Source organism: Homo sapiens, chromosome 2 (assembly GCF_000001405.40).
Source record: "Homo sapiens chromosome 2, GRCh38.p14 Primary Assembly".
NCBI lineage: Eukaryota > Metazoa > Chordata > Mammalia > Primates > Hominidae > Homo > Homo sapiens.
Window position 1 is genome coordinate 159035616 of NC_000002.12, and position 16737 is coordinate 159052352.

Sequence of the window (16737 nt, forward strand, 5' to 3'; positions counted from 1 at the left end):
CCTTCCTTTTTCCTTTCTGTAATTACTAAAGAAGGCCCTTAAAACCCATGTAGGACCAAATACAGAATCTAAACTCTGTGATCTCATCACCACAAAAACAGGCTGGAGGGACAGTCTTCCTCCTCTCAGGAAGCTGCCTTCCTTGAGATCTCTGCGACTCTGTAATTTATAGTGGTGCCTTTGTAGCTTTAAACTCAGAAAGGACTTTTCCCCTGCTGCCCTTACAGAAGTTTTATAAATGGGTTGCTGTAGGTGGGGAAGAGGCCAAAGAGAAAGTGCATGTCTATGTGTACATGACCTGTTAGATTTAATTTTAAGGGTGCACACGCATCTGTGGGTCCTCCGGACAGAGGGTCTGAGAGCGGGCATGCTGTGAGAGTGGGCGTGCTGTGGGCTGTGATGGGTATTCTTTTATACTTGTCTGTCGGTTGTGGTTAGGACAGATGAGGAGTCTCCCTTTTCTGCTGAGGTGTGCTTTATGAAAGGAGACTTGGCTGAAGGACATGCAGCAGCTGGGAGACGATTCCCTTCCTGGCTGCCAGGGCCCTCTCCCTTTTATGAGCCTGTCCTGGGAAACCTCAGGTATTTGAGCTACGACTGTTCACCAGGTGGTGCTGTCCTGCAGTGAATGCTTAGATACTATGCCAGTGAGGTCATCAACCTTATGTAGGAAAAACCTAGGGTGCTTAGAAGCTCTTGCAGCATTTGCAAGCTGTCGCTGAACGTGAGTTGAGGCTTTTTGTAAAAAATTATTATTATTATACTTTAAGTTCTAGGGTACGTGTGCACAATGTGCAGGTTTCTTACATATGTATACATGTGCCATGTTGGTTTGCTGCACCCATTAAGTCATCATTTACATTAGGTATCTCTCCTAATGCCATCCCTCCCCCATCCTCCCACCCCATGACAGGCCCTCGTGTGTGATGTTTCCCGCCCTGTGTCCAAATGTTTTCATTGTTCAATTCCCGCCTATGAGTGAGAACATGCAGTGTTTGGTTTTCTGTCCTTGTGATAGTTTGCTGAGAATGATAGTTTCCAGCTTCATCCATGTTCCTACAAAGGACATGAACTCATCCTTTTTTATGGCTGCATAGTATTCCATGGTGTATATGTGGCACATTTTCTTAATCCAGTCTATCATTGATGGACATTTGGGTTGGTTCCAAGTCTTTACTATTGTGAATAGTTCCACAATAAACATACATGTGCATGTGTCTTTATAGTATAATGATTTATAGTCCTTTGAGTATATACCCAGTAATGGGATGGCTGGGTCAAATGGTATTTCTAGTTCTAGATCCTTGAGGAATCACCACACTGTCTTCCACAATGGTTGAACTAGTTTACAATCCCACCAACAGTGTAAAAGTGTTCCTGTTTCTCCACATCCTCTCCAGCACCTGTTGTTTCCTGACTTTTTAATGATCGCCGTTCTAACTGGTGTGAGATGGTATCTCATTGTGGTTTTGATTTGCATTTCTCTGATGACCAGTGGATGATGAGCATTTTTTCATGTGTCTGTTGGCTGCATAAATGTCTTCTTTTGAGAAGTGTCTGTTCATTTCCTTTGCCCACTTTTTGATGGGGTTGTTTGATTTTTTCTTGAAAATTTGCTTAAGTTCTTTGTAGATTCTGGGTATTAGCTCTTTGTCAGATGGGTAGATTGCAAAAATTTTCTCCCATTCTGTAGGTTGCCAGTTCACTCTGATGGTAGTTTCTTTTGCTGTGCAGAAGCTCTTTAGTTTAATTAGATCCCATTTGTCAATTTTGGCTTTTGTTGCCAAAATTGTTTTAGTCATGAAGTCTTTGCCCGTGCCTATGTCCGGAATGGTATTGCCTAGGTTTTCTTCTAGGGCTTTCATGGTTTTAGGTCTAACATTTAAGTCTTTAATCCATCTTGAATTAATTTTTGTATAGGTATAAGGAAGGGATCCAGTTTCAGCTTTCTACATATGGCTAGCCAGTTTTCCCAGCACGATTTATCAAATAGGGAATCCTTTCCGTGTTCCTTGTTTTTGTCAGGTTTGTCAAAGATCAGATGGTTGTAGATGTGTGATGTCATTTCTGAGGCCTCTGTTCTGTTCCATTGGTCTATCTCTCTGTTTTGGTACCAGTACCATGCTGTTTTGGTTACTGTAGCCTTGTAGTATAGTTTGAAGTCGGGTAGCATGATTCCTCCAGCTTTGTTCTTTTTGCTTAGGATTGCCTTGGCAATGGAGGCTCTTTTTTAGTTCCATATGGACTTTAAGGGAGTTTTTTCCAATTCTGTGAAGAAAGTCATTGGTAGCTTGATGGAGATGGCATTGAATCTATAAATTACCTTGGGCAGTATGGCCATTTTCACAATATTGATTCTTCCTATCCATGAGCATGGAATGTTCTTCCATTTGTTTGTGTCCTCTTTTATTTCGTTGAACAGTGGTTTGTAGTTCTCCTTGAAGAAGTCCTTCACATCCCTTGTAAGTTGTATTCCTAGGTATTTTATTCTCTTTGTAGCAATTGTGAATGGGAGTTCACTCATGATTTGGCTCTCTGTGTCTGTTATTGGCGTATAGGAATGCTTGTGATTTTTGCCCATTGATTTTGTATCCTGAAACTTTGCTGAAGTTGCTTATCAGCTTAAGGAGATTTTGGGCTGAGACGATGGGGTTTTCTAAATATACACTCATGTCATCTGCAAACAGGGACAATCTGACTTCCTCTTTTCCTAATCAAATACCCTTTATTTCTTTATCTTGTCTGATTGCCCTGGCCAGAACTTCCAACACTCTTGAATAGGAGTGGTGAGAGAGGGCATCCCTGTCTTGTGGGAGTTTTCAAAGGGAATGCTTCCAGTTTTTGCCCATTCAGTATGATATTGGCTGTGAGTTTGTCATAAATAGCTCTTATTATTTTGAGATACATCCCATCAATACCTAATTTATTGAGAGTTTTTAGCATGAAGGGCTGTTGAATTTTGTTGAAGACCTTTCTGCATCTATTGAGATAATCATGTGGTTTTTGTCTTTGGTTCTGTTTATGTGATGGATTACATTTATTGATTTGTGTATGTTGAACCAGCCTTGCATCCCAGGGATGAAGCCCACTTGATCTTGGTGGATAAGCTTTTTGATGTGCTGCTGGATTCAGTTTGCCAGTATTTCATTGAGGATTTTTGCATCGATGTTCATCAGGGATATTGGTCTAAAATTCTCTTTTTGTTGTGTCTCTGCCCAGCTTTGGTATCAGGATGATGCTGGCCTCATAAAATGAGTTAGGGAAGATTCCCTCTTTTTCTATTGATTGGAATTAGTTTCAGAAGGAATGGTACCAGCTCCTCTTTGTACCTCTGGTAGAATTTGACTGTGAATCCGTCTGGTCCTGGACTTTTTTTGATTGGTAGGCTATTAATTATTGCCTCAATTTCATAGTCTGTTATTGGTCTATTCAGGGACTCAACTTCTTCCTGGTTTAGTCTTGGGAGAGTGTGTGCGTCCAGGAACTTACCCATTTCTTCTAGATTTTCTAGTTTATTTGCATAGAGGTGTTTATAGTATTCTCTGATTGTAGTTTGTATTTCTGTGTGATCATTGGTGATATCCCCTTTATCATTTTTTATTGCATCTGTTTGATTCTTCTCTTCTTTATTAGTCTTGCTAGCGGTCTATCAATTTCATTGATCTTTTCAAAAAACAGCTCCTGGATTCATTATTATTATTTTATTTTTGAAGGGTTTTTTATGTCTCTATCTCCTTCAGTTCTGCTCTGATCTTAGTTATTTCTTGCCTTCTGCTAGCTTTTGAATGTGTTTGCTCTTGCTACTCTAGTTCTTTTAATTGTGATGTTAGGGTGTCAATTTTAGATCTTTCCTGCTTTCTCCTGTGGGCATTTAGTGCTATAAATTTCCCTCTACACACTGCTCTAAATGTGTCCCAGAGACTCTGGTACGTTGTGTCTTTGTTCTCATTGGTTTCAAAAAACGTCTTTATTTCTGCCTTCATTCGTTATTTACCCGGTACTCATTCAGGAGCAGGTTGTTCAGTTTCCATGTAGTTGTGCAGTTTTGAGTGAGTTTCTTAGTCCTGAGTTCTAATTTGATTGCACTATGGTCTGAGAGACGGTTTGTTGTGATTTCTGTTCTTTTACATTTGCTGAGGAGTGCTTTATTTCCGGCTATGTGGTCAATTTTGGAATAAGTGTGATGTGGTGCTGAGAAGAATGTATATTCTGTTGATTTGGGGTGGAGAGTTCTGTAGATGTCTATTAGGTCCACTTGGTGCAGAGCTGAGTTCAAGTCCTGGCTATCCTTGTTAACCTTCTGTCTCATTGTTCTGTCTAATATTGACAGTGGGGTGTTAAAGTCTCCCATTATTATTGTGTGGGAGTCTAAGTCTCTTTGTAGGTCTCTAAGGACTTGCTTTATGAATCTGGGTGCTCCTGCATTGGGTGCATATATATTTAGGATAGTTAGCTCTTCTTGTTGTATTGATCCCTTTACCATTATGTAATGGCCTTCGTTGTCTCTTTTGATCTCTGTTGGTTTAAAGTCTGTTTTATCAGAGACTAGGATTGCAACCCCTGCTTTTTTTTGCTTTCCATTTGCTTGGTAGATCTTCCTCCATCCCTTTATTTTTGAGCCTGGGGGTTGCTCTTCTCAAGGAGTATCTTTGTGGTGTTCTCTGTATTTCCTGAATTTGAATGTTGGCGTGCCTTGCTAGGTTGGGGAAGTTCTCCTGGATAATATCCTGAAGAGTGTTTTTCAGCTTGGTTACATTGTCCCCATCACTTTCAGGTATACCAATCAAATGTAGATTTGGTCTTTTCACATAGTCCCATATTTCTTGGAGGCTTTGTTCGTTTCTTTTTACTCTTCTTTCTCTAAACTTCTCTTCTCGCTTCATTTCATTCATTTGATCTTCAATCACTGATTCCCTTTCTTCCACTTGATCAAATTGGCTACTGAAGCTTGTGCATGCATCATGTAGTTCTCGTGCCATGATTTTCAGCTCCATCAGGTCATTTAAGGTCTTCTCTATACTGGTTATTCTAGTTAGCCATTCGTCTAATCTTTTTTGAAGGTTTTTAGCTTCCTTGCAATGGGTTTGAACATCCTCCTTTAGCTTGGAGAAGTTTGTTATTACTGACTTTCTGAAGCCTACTTCTGTCAACTAGTCAAAGTCATTCTCCGTCCAGCTTTTTTCCATTTCTGGTAAGGAGCTGCATTCCTTTGGAGGAGAAGAGGCATTCTGGTTTTTAGAATTTTCAGCTTTTCTGCTCTGGTTTCTTACCATCTTTGTGGTTTATCTACCTTCAGTCTTTGATGATGGTGACCTACAGATGGGGTTTTGGTGTGGATGTCCTTTTTGTTGATGTTGATGCTATTCCTTTCTGTTTTTTAGTTTTCCTTCTAAGAGTCAGGTCCCTCAGCTGCAGGTCTGTTGGAGTTTGCTGGAGGTTCACTACAGACCCTGTTTGCCTGGGTATCACCAGCAGAGGCTGCAGAACAGCAAATATTGCAGAACAGCAAATATTGCTGCCTGATCCTTCTTCTGGAAGCTTCATCTCGGAGGAGCACCCAGCTGTATGAGGTGTCAGTTGGCCCCTACTGGGAGGTGTCTGCCAGTAAGGCTACATGGGGGTCAGGGACCCACTTGAGGAGGCAATCTGTCCATTCTCAGAGCTCAAACACTGTACTGGGAGAACCACTGCTCTCTTCAGAGCTGTCAGACAGGGACGTTTAAGTCTGCAGAAGTTTCTGCTGCCTTTTTTTCAGCTGTGCCCTTCCCCCAGAGGAGGAGTCTACAGAGGCAGGCAGGCCTCCTTGAGCTGCGGTGGACTCCACACAGTTCGAGCTTCCCGGCTGCTTTGTTTACCTACTCAAGCCTCAGCAATGGTGGATGCCCCTCCCCCAGCTAGGCTGCCACCTTGCAGCTCGATCTCGGACTGCTGTGCTAGCAGTGAGCAAGGCTCTGTGGGAGCGGGACCCGCTGAGCCAGGTGCAGGATATAATCTCCTGGTGTGCCGTTTGCTAAGACAGTTGGAAAAGTGCAGTGTTAGGGTGGTAGTGTCCCGATTTTCCAGGTACAGTCTGCCACGGCTTCCCTTGGCTAGGAAAGGGAATTCCCCTACCCCTTGTACTTCCTGGGTGAGGTGATGACCTGCCCTGCTTTGGCTTGCCCTCTGTGGGCTGCATCCACTGTCCACCCAGTCCCAGCTGAGATGAACCAGGCACCTCAGTTGGAAATGCAGAAATCACCTGTCTTCTGTGTCAGTCACGCTGCGGGCTGAAGACTGGAGCTGTTCCTATTCAGCCATCTTGGAACCCTACCCCATGTTCGAGTTGAGACTTTTTTTGAGGAAACATTAGGCATTTGACATGGGGGTGACCACCTGGTTCATGTAGGGTTCTCCTCTGTGCTTGGCTCAAATGAGATCTCAGCTGACCCTGAAGTCAGGGAAAGGCTGAACCCATCCCCTGTATTACTCCCTGGTTTCCTTCCAGAGAAACCTCCTATTCTCCGTTCTCATCTTTGAAGTCCTGGTGGGGAAGGCAGCAGGTCTTCTGGAGCTCCTCATTAAACAGACTTAGGAGGAGGAGAGGCCTCCACCCAGCCTCGGCACGCACAAACCTGTTAGCACCCTGGTGCCCTGCCAAGGTGGTTTTTTTGGCCCAAACGTGACTGCACATGATCCCGTTCTTTCTGGCAGTGAAGCCCGGCAGGATTGACTTGGGCAGGAGCCTAGTTGGTGGTGTGTTTGAACATGGAGAGCACCCTTGAAAACGAATGTTCTCCAGGACGTGTAGCAGTGAAAAGGACACTTCCCAGGGAGATAGGCTCTGGGTCAGTCACAGGAGCTCCTTGTTGGAATCTTTCAATGAGCAAGCGTGCATGGAGCATCTGCTTCTGCTTGTGATGAGAGTGAGAGCGGGAGGGTGGTGGATGACACCAGGGAAGACCAGCCCTGGAGAGACTGGTAGGAGGGGAGCTCAGGCAGAACGAAGCCAGTGCTGCAACTCAGAGGCCAACCAGGTGTTCTGAGCACAGAGAAAGGGCTGGCAAGATTCCGTGGGGGGTGGTGTGGGCATGCAGGTGATATTTGAGCTGTACCTGGAGGATGACTAATTTCCAGAGAGAGAGGGGGTTTCAGGTTGAGGGAAGAGAAAGAGCAAAGGTGTGAAGTTGAGTGGTGTGTTTGGGAATGGTGAATTTCGTAGAAACCTGGGACTCCTGAGGGGTGAGGCAGGAGATAGGGGAAGGAGGTGCTTAGGAGGACTTCAGCATGCTAAGGGTTTGAGAGAGGTTCTTGGCATGTTATCTTAAACCTTTAAAACATTTCGTTGTGGACTGGGCTGTAAACCTATTAGCATCACATAAACAGAAAACCTGAGATAGTGGTGGTAAACCGGATGCATCTAGTACCTTGCTTAAGAGCAGGTGCTTCTCAGTTGATGTCCTGACTCAGCTTGGATAGTGAGCATCTGAGGAAGGAATGGATTCTCTTGGTTTTGCCAATCCCCGGTCACTCTGCTTTTACTGGGCTTGACAGTATGTCCATGTGATGTCTTTTTCTCCATTACTGCTGCTTTGGGATTTTTGGGGAGGTCAGAGCTGGTGTTGATAAACTCTGTGCCTCTCGTCTCATAGGGAAGAGTGCTGACGGGTTTTCTTTTTTCCAGTTCTTTTGCCAGCTTTCTATGGTCATCTTCTTGGGAGGAACTTACGGGCATCCCTGAGTGAGGGAGACAACCACTCTCTGTTGCAAGCAAGTGGCATGTGGGGTGAGGAGAGTTGAGACCAGGGACGTGCTCATAGGGAATCCATGCTTTGACAGGCCAGGTATTCAAGGTATGCTATTCTTGGTAAATTTTGAGGGCTCTGAAAGTAAATCAGATTTCTTCAAAGAAACTTAAAGTAAATCATTATCTTACTGTGTTAAAGCACTCTTACTAATAACATGCGTGCTTTAGTGCACTCTTTTGAAGCTTTCCTAATTTTATTGACTTGTGCCCATTTTAGAATTTTGGATCCCTTTTTTATGGTGTCTAGCACAGTACTTTTCCATTGAAAACATTTAATATATGTTGATTGAATGGCTTAGTATCTTTGTTTACAGTTTAAGTACAGTTGTCAGAAGTATAACTGATAAAATTTTCACATTTTTAATAAGGTCAGACTGGCTGTCTCATCCGTATCATTTTCATTCTTCTACTCCTTATTCCCCGTGAAAAACTTCTTAAAGTTTAATGACAAGGCTCCTTATCGCTCCTGGAAGACAAATAAGGAAACATTTACAGGTTGCCTTACCTCAAATGCTCTTCATAGATTGGCTTTTTGGGGTCATGTCAGTTAAAGCTGACATAGGTTCTGCCTCTTGCCCGTTCTACAGACTGTCCTGTTAACTTACTCTGAGTTGTCATCCCTCTTCTTCCCCTGGGTTTCAAGGAGGATTTTCTAGTTGTGTGGCTTTAGGAACTTGGGGAAACTTGCTAACCGTGTGCTGAGATCTCCCTGTATTGTAGTCTTATATGTAAGTTATGAAACAGAAATACCTATTTTAATGCCAGGAACAATGGCTCTCGCCTGTAATCCCAGCACTTTGGGAGGTTGAGGTGGGAGGATCACTTGAGACCAGCCTGGGCAACGCAGCGAGACCTCATCTCTACCAAACCAAACAGAACAAAACAAAAATGGCTGGGTTATGGTGGCATGCACCTGTAGTCCCAAGCTACTCGGGAGGCTGAGGTGGGAGGATCGCTTGAGCCCAGGAGATTGAGGCTGCAGTGAGCTCTGATGGCGCCACTGTACTCCAGCCTGGGTGACAGCATGAAACCCTGTCTTAAAACTATTTCAAGAGGTTTGGCGAGGCTGGAGGCTCCTAATGTATATGATCTATGTTCTAGTCATCTTTTTATTTGCATTCTGTCTCCAATGCCTAGCATCTAGTAGGACTCAGATACTCCCTCTTTTAAGAAAGAGACCTGGCTGAGAATGGTGCCTCCAATCCCATCTTAAGTGAGCACAGCTTGGAAGACTGGCTATTTATGCCTAGCTGTGCACAGTGGAGGCAGCAAGCAGGAGTCCCCAAGACATCCAGGACCAAATGGCTGACTGGGGGCATTGGAGACACCGGCTCGCTTCTCCATGGGTGTTGGAAATACTGCCCCAAGGGGATGGGGGTCAAGATAAAAGGAGCTTCCAAATTGCTGTGAGTTCTTGAAATGTCTATGAGATGTGCCCATGTACTCTGCCATCTGTTTTGTGTGACTTGCCAGCAGGATTTCATTTTCTGCATTCAGTTCTCCTGCCACACCCTGCTATCCATGAGGAATGCAGTGGCCTTGTTGCTCCCCAGAACTTTGCGGGATCCTGCCAAAAGGCGGAGCTTCTCCACAGGGGCAGGGCAGCAGAGTACATATCACAATTCCTGTGAAGCTTTAAAAATTAGGATACTGGGACTCACTTGAGGAGTGCTGAACTAGAATTAGGGGGAGGAGGAGTCCCTGCTGTGTTGTTGTTGTTGTTTTAAAGTTCCACAAGAGGTGATAGTGTATATCATGAAGTAAGATAGCCACATATGGGCCGGGCGCAGTGGCTCACTCCTGTAATCCTAGCACTTTGAGAGGCTGAGGTGAGCAGATTGCCTGAGCTCAGGAGTGCCTGTCTGTACTAAAAATACAAAAAAATTACCCGGGCATGGTGGCACATGCCTGTAGTCCCAGCTACTCGGGAGGCTGAGGCATGAGAATTGCTTGAACTCGGGAGGCGGAGGTTGCAGTGAGCCGAGATTGCACCACTGCACAACAGCCTGGGTGACAGAGCAAGACTGTCTCATAAATAAATAAAATTAAGATAGCCAGATATGATAAAGAGTTTAAAGGATACATAAAATTAGTTACCAGAAGATCCGAAGAAATTGTCTGCTTAAATTCAGTGATGCATACAAAGAGTGAGTAGTATTTTTGGAGGAATATATTTCAGAAGCCTCAGATCTTCAAATTTTTTTGCTTTATATTAATGACAATTCTATAATAGTCATTAATATTTGAGATATGTAACTTTTGAAAAATATTTGTATGGGGAGTAAACTTATAAACCTCTTTCTTAGCCTGAGCCGACGTTTAGGGGAACTTTTTTGAATTCCACTGACCTGTTTAACCAGTTGACACTGCCAACCCAAACATTCCCTTGTGCCATAATTCATATCGTAAAACTATTTTATAATTTTCACTTAAAATTGCATGCGATAGCATTTTCTATGATGCTAACATGACAAAGAACAAGAAAAATGACATGGAAGAGGAATTTACTAAATTCAACCAGAGTTTAGGCTTACTGAGAAATCCAGGTGGAAATCTGCTTAAATGGCATTTTACAATAGATTTGCGTATTGAAACCAAGCCTTTCTTCCTGTGGTAACACGTTTCTCAAAGTAACATTGAAATAGCAATTTAAGTGTATTGCCCATAGAGATTTATCAGAAAGGAAATTTATTTAGAAAGTTGTGGGTTTTTTTTTTCCCCCTTCAGTTTTCGTTTGGCAGAGAATTCACTAATTTTTCTCCTTCCCTGGGACCAACTTTAGAAAATAGATAGGAACTTAATAGCAAAAATCATGTTAAATGGTTTTGTGGTTTTAGACTGCGTCTCTCTTTTGCAAATTCCTTTTCTGTGAAAGAAAACCTTGCAACACATTGCTATTTGACATTTTATTAATTTGGTGGGTTTGAGGGAGAAGGGTGAGTTTCAGTTTTGAAGTTAAAGAATTTTACAATTTAGGAGGGACTGACCCTACAGATGGCCTGTCTCCTGGTTTCCTTCGCCTCAATAGAAACTGCCCTTGTCGACGTCCCAAATGGCCTCTGATCATTGAAGCCTGTTGTCACTTGTTAGTCCTTGACATGACTTTTCCTGTAGTATTTGATTCTGCTGATCATTCCTCATCAAAGCTGTCTCTTCTGGGTTCCTATGCACCATTCTTTTCTTTTCTTTACTTTTTTTTTTTTTTTTTTTTTTTTTTTTGAGGCAGGGTCTAGCTTTGTCACCCAGGCTAGAGTGCAGCGGCACAATCTCGGCTCATTGCAACCTCTGCCTCCTTGGGCTCAAGCGATCCTCCCACCTCAGACCCTCAAATAGCTAGGAGTACAGGCGCGAGGCACCAGGCCTGGCTAATTTTTTTTGTATTTTTTGTGGAGACGGGTTTTCACCATGTTACCCAGGCTGGTCTCAAACTTCTGAGTTCTAGCGATCCACTTGCCTCGGCCTCCCCAAAATGCTGGGATTACAGGCATGAACCATGGTGCCCCGCCCCTTTGCACCATACTCGACTGCTTTGTTTTTGCTTCTTTAATTTCCTCTTAGGTCCTGCTGTATCTGCCCTTATGTTCCTGGTTCATCCTTGGTGGTTTTCTTTTAGTCTGCTCAGCCTTTTTGGGGGAGACCTCAATAATTCTGTGGCTTCAGCCACCATCCACACTTCATGGACCCCCCAGGTCTCTCTGAATTCATCCTCCTCTTAGACAATCTTTTGGACATTTCTGCTTGGATGACTCATAGGTACTTTTAAATCAGGATATCCAAACTGAACTCATTTCCCCCCCCCAGTTATTGCCTGCTTCCTGCTCCCCACTCCAAACCACTCACCCCACGCTTGTCTGCTTTTCCCATTTTGGTCATTGGCACTACTTTCTACCCTGTCACTCAAGCCAGAAATTTGTGATTCATCCTTCAGCCCTCCCTCAGCCCCATTTTAAAATTGCTGATTACATTTTATCTTAATTTCCTAAATAAAGAAGGAAAACGCAAACTTAAGTCATTCCACCGTGAAAGAAAAATATCTTGGGCCCCCAAATCGCTAAAGCTAAAAGAAAATTCAAGCTGGGAACTACTTAGGGCAAAGCTGCCTCTGATTCTATTCAAAGCCATCCCTCTGCTCACTGAGATAAATGCATATCTCATTGCCTCCTTTGGAAAGGCTAATCAGAAACTCAAAAGAATGCAACAGTTGGTCTCCCACCTGTGACCTGGAAGCCCCCTCCCCATTTCCAGTTGTCCTGCCTTTCCAGACAGAACCAATGTTCATTTTACATATATTGATTGATGTCTCATGTTTCCCTAAAATGTATAAAACCAAGCTGTGCTCTGACCACTTTGGGCACATGTCATCAGGACCTCCTGAGGCTGTCTGAAGGGCATGCATCCTCAACCTTGGCAGAATAAACTTTCTAAATTGAGACCTGTCTCAAATTTTGGGACTTCACACCACTAACATTTAATTATAAATGTTTAAAACTCATCACTGGGCCTATATAAACAAGTGTAATAATACAACACATTAGTGACCATTTCTATAATATATGTTTCATGCTAGGTATAGTCCTACAAACTTGTCATGTTTTATTTCTGATTTTTTTTCACAGCTATTCTGAGGGATGTCATGCTCTGTTACAAGTGAGGAATCTAGGGTCAGAGAGCTTGTGTCCAGGCCCAGGGGCACAGGGCAAGGAAAGCACAGTATAGTTGGGGTTTAGACCACATGGGCTGGTGTTGGTTGACCTGACCCCAACACCTTTGCCTTTGGTATCATGCCACCTTGTTTTGAGTTGTTTCTATAATGCCACAGCACTGTTGTAGATATCTGGCAAGTAGATTGGCTTTGGGGGGCAGTAACTGGTCTTGTTCGTATTTGAATCTGTTAACGTATATTTTTTCTTACAATTAGTGGTAAAGACATGACTCTTGATGGTCCATGTTGTCTGTGGCTTCGTCTGGATACCAGCCCTGGCTCTTCCGTGAACTGTCTATTAGCTGGGTGGCCTGAGACAAGGACAGTAGGATCATGCTGCTCGCCCTCAGAGGGTTTTTATGAGGAGGAAATGGAATGCCGTACAGGAAAGTGCTTTCAAATTCAGGGCATTTTTGAAAAGTTGTGTTCAATTGTGGGAATTGATCATTTGCTGGCTTACATGAGCCCTCTTTTTTTATAAACGACAATGTGAACATAGAAATTTTCCTGGATTTCTGATGTTAATGCTGATCATTCTTGCACAGGCAGAAAAGGCAAGAAACGACCTTGTTTATAGCACATATAGACCTAAATTTTGTTAGTCCTTAGTAAAACTAGTTTAGAACAGGTAAGGATATGATCTACAAAAATCATACAGAACCTTTTTGGGTATAGGCGGGTGAACAAAAGCAGAGTCTACTGAAGTTTTTTGTAGAGATGGGCTCTTGCTATGTTGCCCAGGCTGGTCTTGAACTCTTGGCCTCAAGCCATTCTCCCACCTTGGCCTCCCAAAGTGCTGGGATTACAGGCATGAGCCACCACAATTGGCCCTCTTTATTCTGTTAAATTGCTCTTGGGAGCATGGATGGACTTTTGTGCTGTACCACAATGAACTGTAAATTGAGACCTGGCTGTTTTATATTTTGTTTCCTCATAGGTCCCTCCTTTTGCCCTGTTCTGAAAAGGAAATGCTCCTTTTTCTTCATAGGTCTCCCTCTTCCATCATATTTGGTTTTTAGAGTGTGTCTAAGGAGAGGGCCCTTTTAATACATAGATAAACTCAATCTATTATTGTGGAATTTAGAAATTGTTTAATTTTCAAAGTCTTGGTTTCTTATAAAATTGTCCTGTAAATTTAGGGGCAGTGCTGTGTATTTTGCAGTTGTTTTGACTGAACTTGACAGACTGTGACTCACAGTAGGTCCTTGGCAGTTGGTAGCCATTACCATCCAAACTTAGTTCAGATTTTACAAGGGTTACATTGGTTTATGTTAGGATTCAAGAAGAATTTATGTAAGTGTTGTAGAAAGGGAGGGAGGAGAGTGTATAATAACAGTGGTTCCTGGGAGTGTGGACCATGAGGGACTGCTTCATCATCAGCAGGGTAGCTGTACCCCAGACCTAAAGAACCGTCCAGGGTGGGGTCCAGCAGCCTGCCTCTTAACAAGTCCCCCAGGTAACTCTGATGCACTTAACTGGCCTAACGTTACAGGTTTCAGCCTGAAGTCCACCCAAGAGATAGTGAGGACCTCCCCAGAGTGGTGGAAGCGAATGGAGGGGAGTCAGGACTGGTGAGACGGAGACCTGTTTGGCTGTTTACCAGACATGGAAGGGAGGCCATGAGAAAGAGGAGGGGCTTTGAGTCTCGTGAACTAAAAAGGATGGTGCTTTATCAGCAGGAACCTGGACCCAGACTAGTGAGTGGGTTTTGGAAGTGGGGAGAGGAAGATGGGTTTAGTTTTGGACATGTTGAGGTATGTGAGCCAGGGCTGATGACGGCAAGTTGGAAATAAAGTAGTGTAACTGTAGCACAGATAAAGAATGGAGAAACAGATTTGTGACTTGCCTGCATACAGGCAGCAGTTGAAGTGGGTATTCTGGTCATTTTTCCAAGGATGATAGCACAGAGAAAGAGACCCAAGAATAGACTGATATGGGATTGGGTGCTTGGGAGTGCAGCATTTGTTTCTCTTTCAGAAGAGTAAGTCAAAATGCTTAGGAATACATAGTGACATAATTTTTTTTGTTTAAGAGCCTCACTCTGTTATCTAGGCTCAAGTGCAATGGCATGATTAGAGCTCATTGCAGCCTCGAACACCTGGGCTCAAATGAGCCCACCTCAGCCCCGCAAAGTACTGTGACTACAGGCATGTGCCACCACTCCCAGCTAATTAAAAAAAAATTTTTTTTGTAGAAACAAAGACTCACACTCCTGGACTCAAGTGATTCTCCTACCTTGGCCTCCCAAAGTGTTGATTACAGGTGTGAGCCACCACACCCAGCCTGTGATATAGTTTTAAATTAAACCAGGTTATCAGAACAGCGTTGCAGTTTTGCCATTTAGCTTTAGGCCCCATGCTGTGTAACAGAGACTTGTTCTTGAATGTCATTTTATCTGGAAATCCAAGGCTTAGGGTGCCAAGGCATGGTTTTAGTGCATGTTTTTCTTGCAAAGGAAGAAGTGGAATGAGGTGTTAAGAGCTAAGGTGTGACCTAGAGCAGGCTGCTGAGATTCTCTAAGTCTCAGTTTCCTTATCTGTCAAAAGAGGATAATTATAGTTCCCACCTGGTGGTTGTGAGGACTAAACAGGAGGTTGTCTGTGAAATAAGTTTCTCTACCTCTGCCATTGCTTTTGTGGTTGGTTGCTGGATTTGTGAAGTAAAGGTCTTCCATTTGTATCGATAAATCTTGCATTTGTATTGATTTATGATATGAGGATTATAAAAAGTGATGTCAATTGGAGATGAATGCAGTTTTATAGTTTTTAGTGAATTATCAGTACATTGAAATATGGGCTTTGTTAGGTTTGTGAGAAGGCAAAAGAGAGTTGGCTTGAGAAGTTTTACTGCATAAAAACAAGAATCAGATATTTTAAAAATTATTTTATATCCAGCTTTGTTGCAGACTGACATATTTTGCTGTACCAGGAAGATGTTTTGCTGAGACCATGAAAACTTAGTACATCTGTGCAACATCTTCATTATATCTACAACAATTTTACATCCACCGTCTCTAATTCAAAGCCATTCAAGAAACATGTGTCTTGTTTTCCACTGGGTTCTAATTGGGCTGTTTTTCCTTAGTGGGAGACATTTGGACCACACACTTACATTTAGGAAATAACTTGGTAACTGGGCTACATGTACAAGAGTGTATAAAGAATGTTCTCATTGTGGAAAAAGTAGCTTCTGCAACTCCCTATTCCTCCCCAAGAAAAGAAAGCTGTGTGTATGTATGTGTGCATGTGTTTTCTGTGCTGCGTCACAATAGTGACTTTTGTTCTTTAGGTCTGAGATGTTTCATACTAAGAGAAATGATGACAGAATCAGTGATCAAAGGTTTCACTGCAGAGTTACTAAGAGCTTTAATTGAATCTTTCACTGGGTTTTAGAGGAAAAACATCTGATGTTCATACATGGCGCGTAACATACCTTCAAGTATAAGGCTTAAACTTCATAGGTTTGATTAGTTTTATGGGACCCCTACAAATAACATGTCATATCCACCCATAGGAATTAGCTCTAATTCAAAATTTAGTTGAAGTGGTGTTTGTGTGTGTGTGTGTGTGTGTGTGTGTGTGTGTGTGTGTTTGCTGTTGGGTTGGGTTTGGATGCCTTCAGTTTAGTTCAGAACTACCACCCCAGCTCTTCCAGAACTGCACGAGGCTTGCACCATTCTGGGAAATTTGGCTGCTGCCACAGCTGAAATACTGAGCCAGACTTAGGTTATTTTATTAGTCTAGAAAGAGTATTGCGCTCTTGCAGCTGTTCCTAACCATGAAAACAAAAACCATCTCGGTTACCCAGGATCCATGAGAAATTGGCAATGGCTCAGTTTAAGTCCGTGTATTTTGGACTCTGAATTATATTTATCTTCCTATGGGCATCCCCTGATTTAGGGCATACAGCTGGGGAATGGCCTGTGACTGTATGAGGCAGTGGGGGCGGGAGAGGCCAAGCCTTGGGTACCACATTCATTAGGAAGCCTGATCCAGTTAACTGAAACACGGCAGTTTCCAGAGCACAAATACTTTCAAAAAGAGTGAGGAGAGCACCAAGAAAACAATACAACCAACAGCGTGTATTAAAAACACCTGTCTCAAATATGAAATGTGGCATTTTGTTTTTGTACATTGTCTGTCACAGTAAATATCTAGAGTCTGTCTCCTGTCATGCCAGGCCTGGTTTTTGTAGATAGTAATTTGGTGGTGATGGACATTCTTGATAAATAGGGCTTTTACAGACTATTCTG

At 42.9% G+C, this 16737-nt stretch overlaps 1 protein-coding gene across 37 annotated transcripts in view; it reads left to right on the plus strand.

Annotated features, from left to right (window-relative positions):
- TANC1 (tetratricopeptide repeat, ankyrin repeat and coiled-coil containing 1) overlaps positions 1 to 16737 on the plus strand; it is a 264020-nt gene that overhangs the window by 66976 nt on the left and 180307 nt on the right. The window contains exon 3 of one of the 37 annotated variants that reach the window (NM_001350065.2): positions 7661 to 7829. The exons of the other annotated variants lie outside the window; for them this stretch is intronic. The gene's annotated coding sequence lies outside the window, so the exon portion shown is untranslated. The remainder of the gene's footprint in view (positions 1 to 7660; positions 7830 to 16737) is intronic. 37 annotated transcript variants of the gene reach the window in all.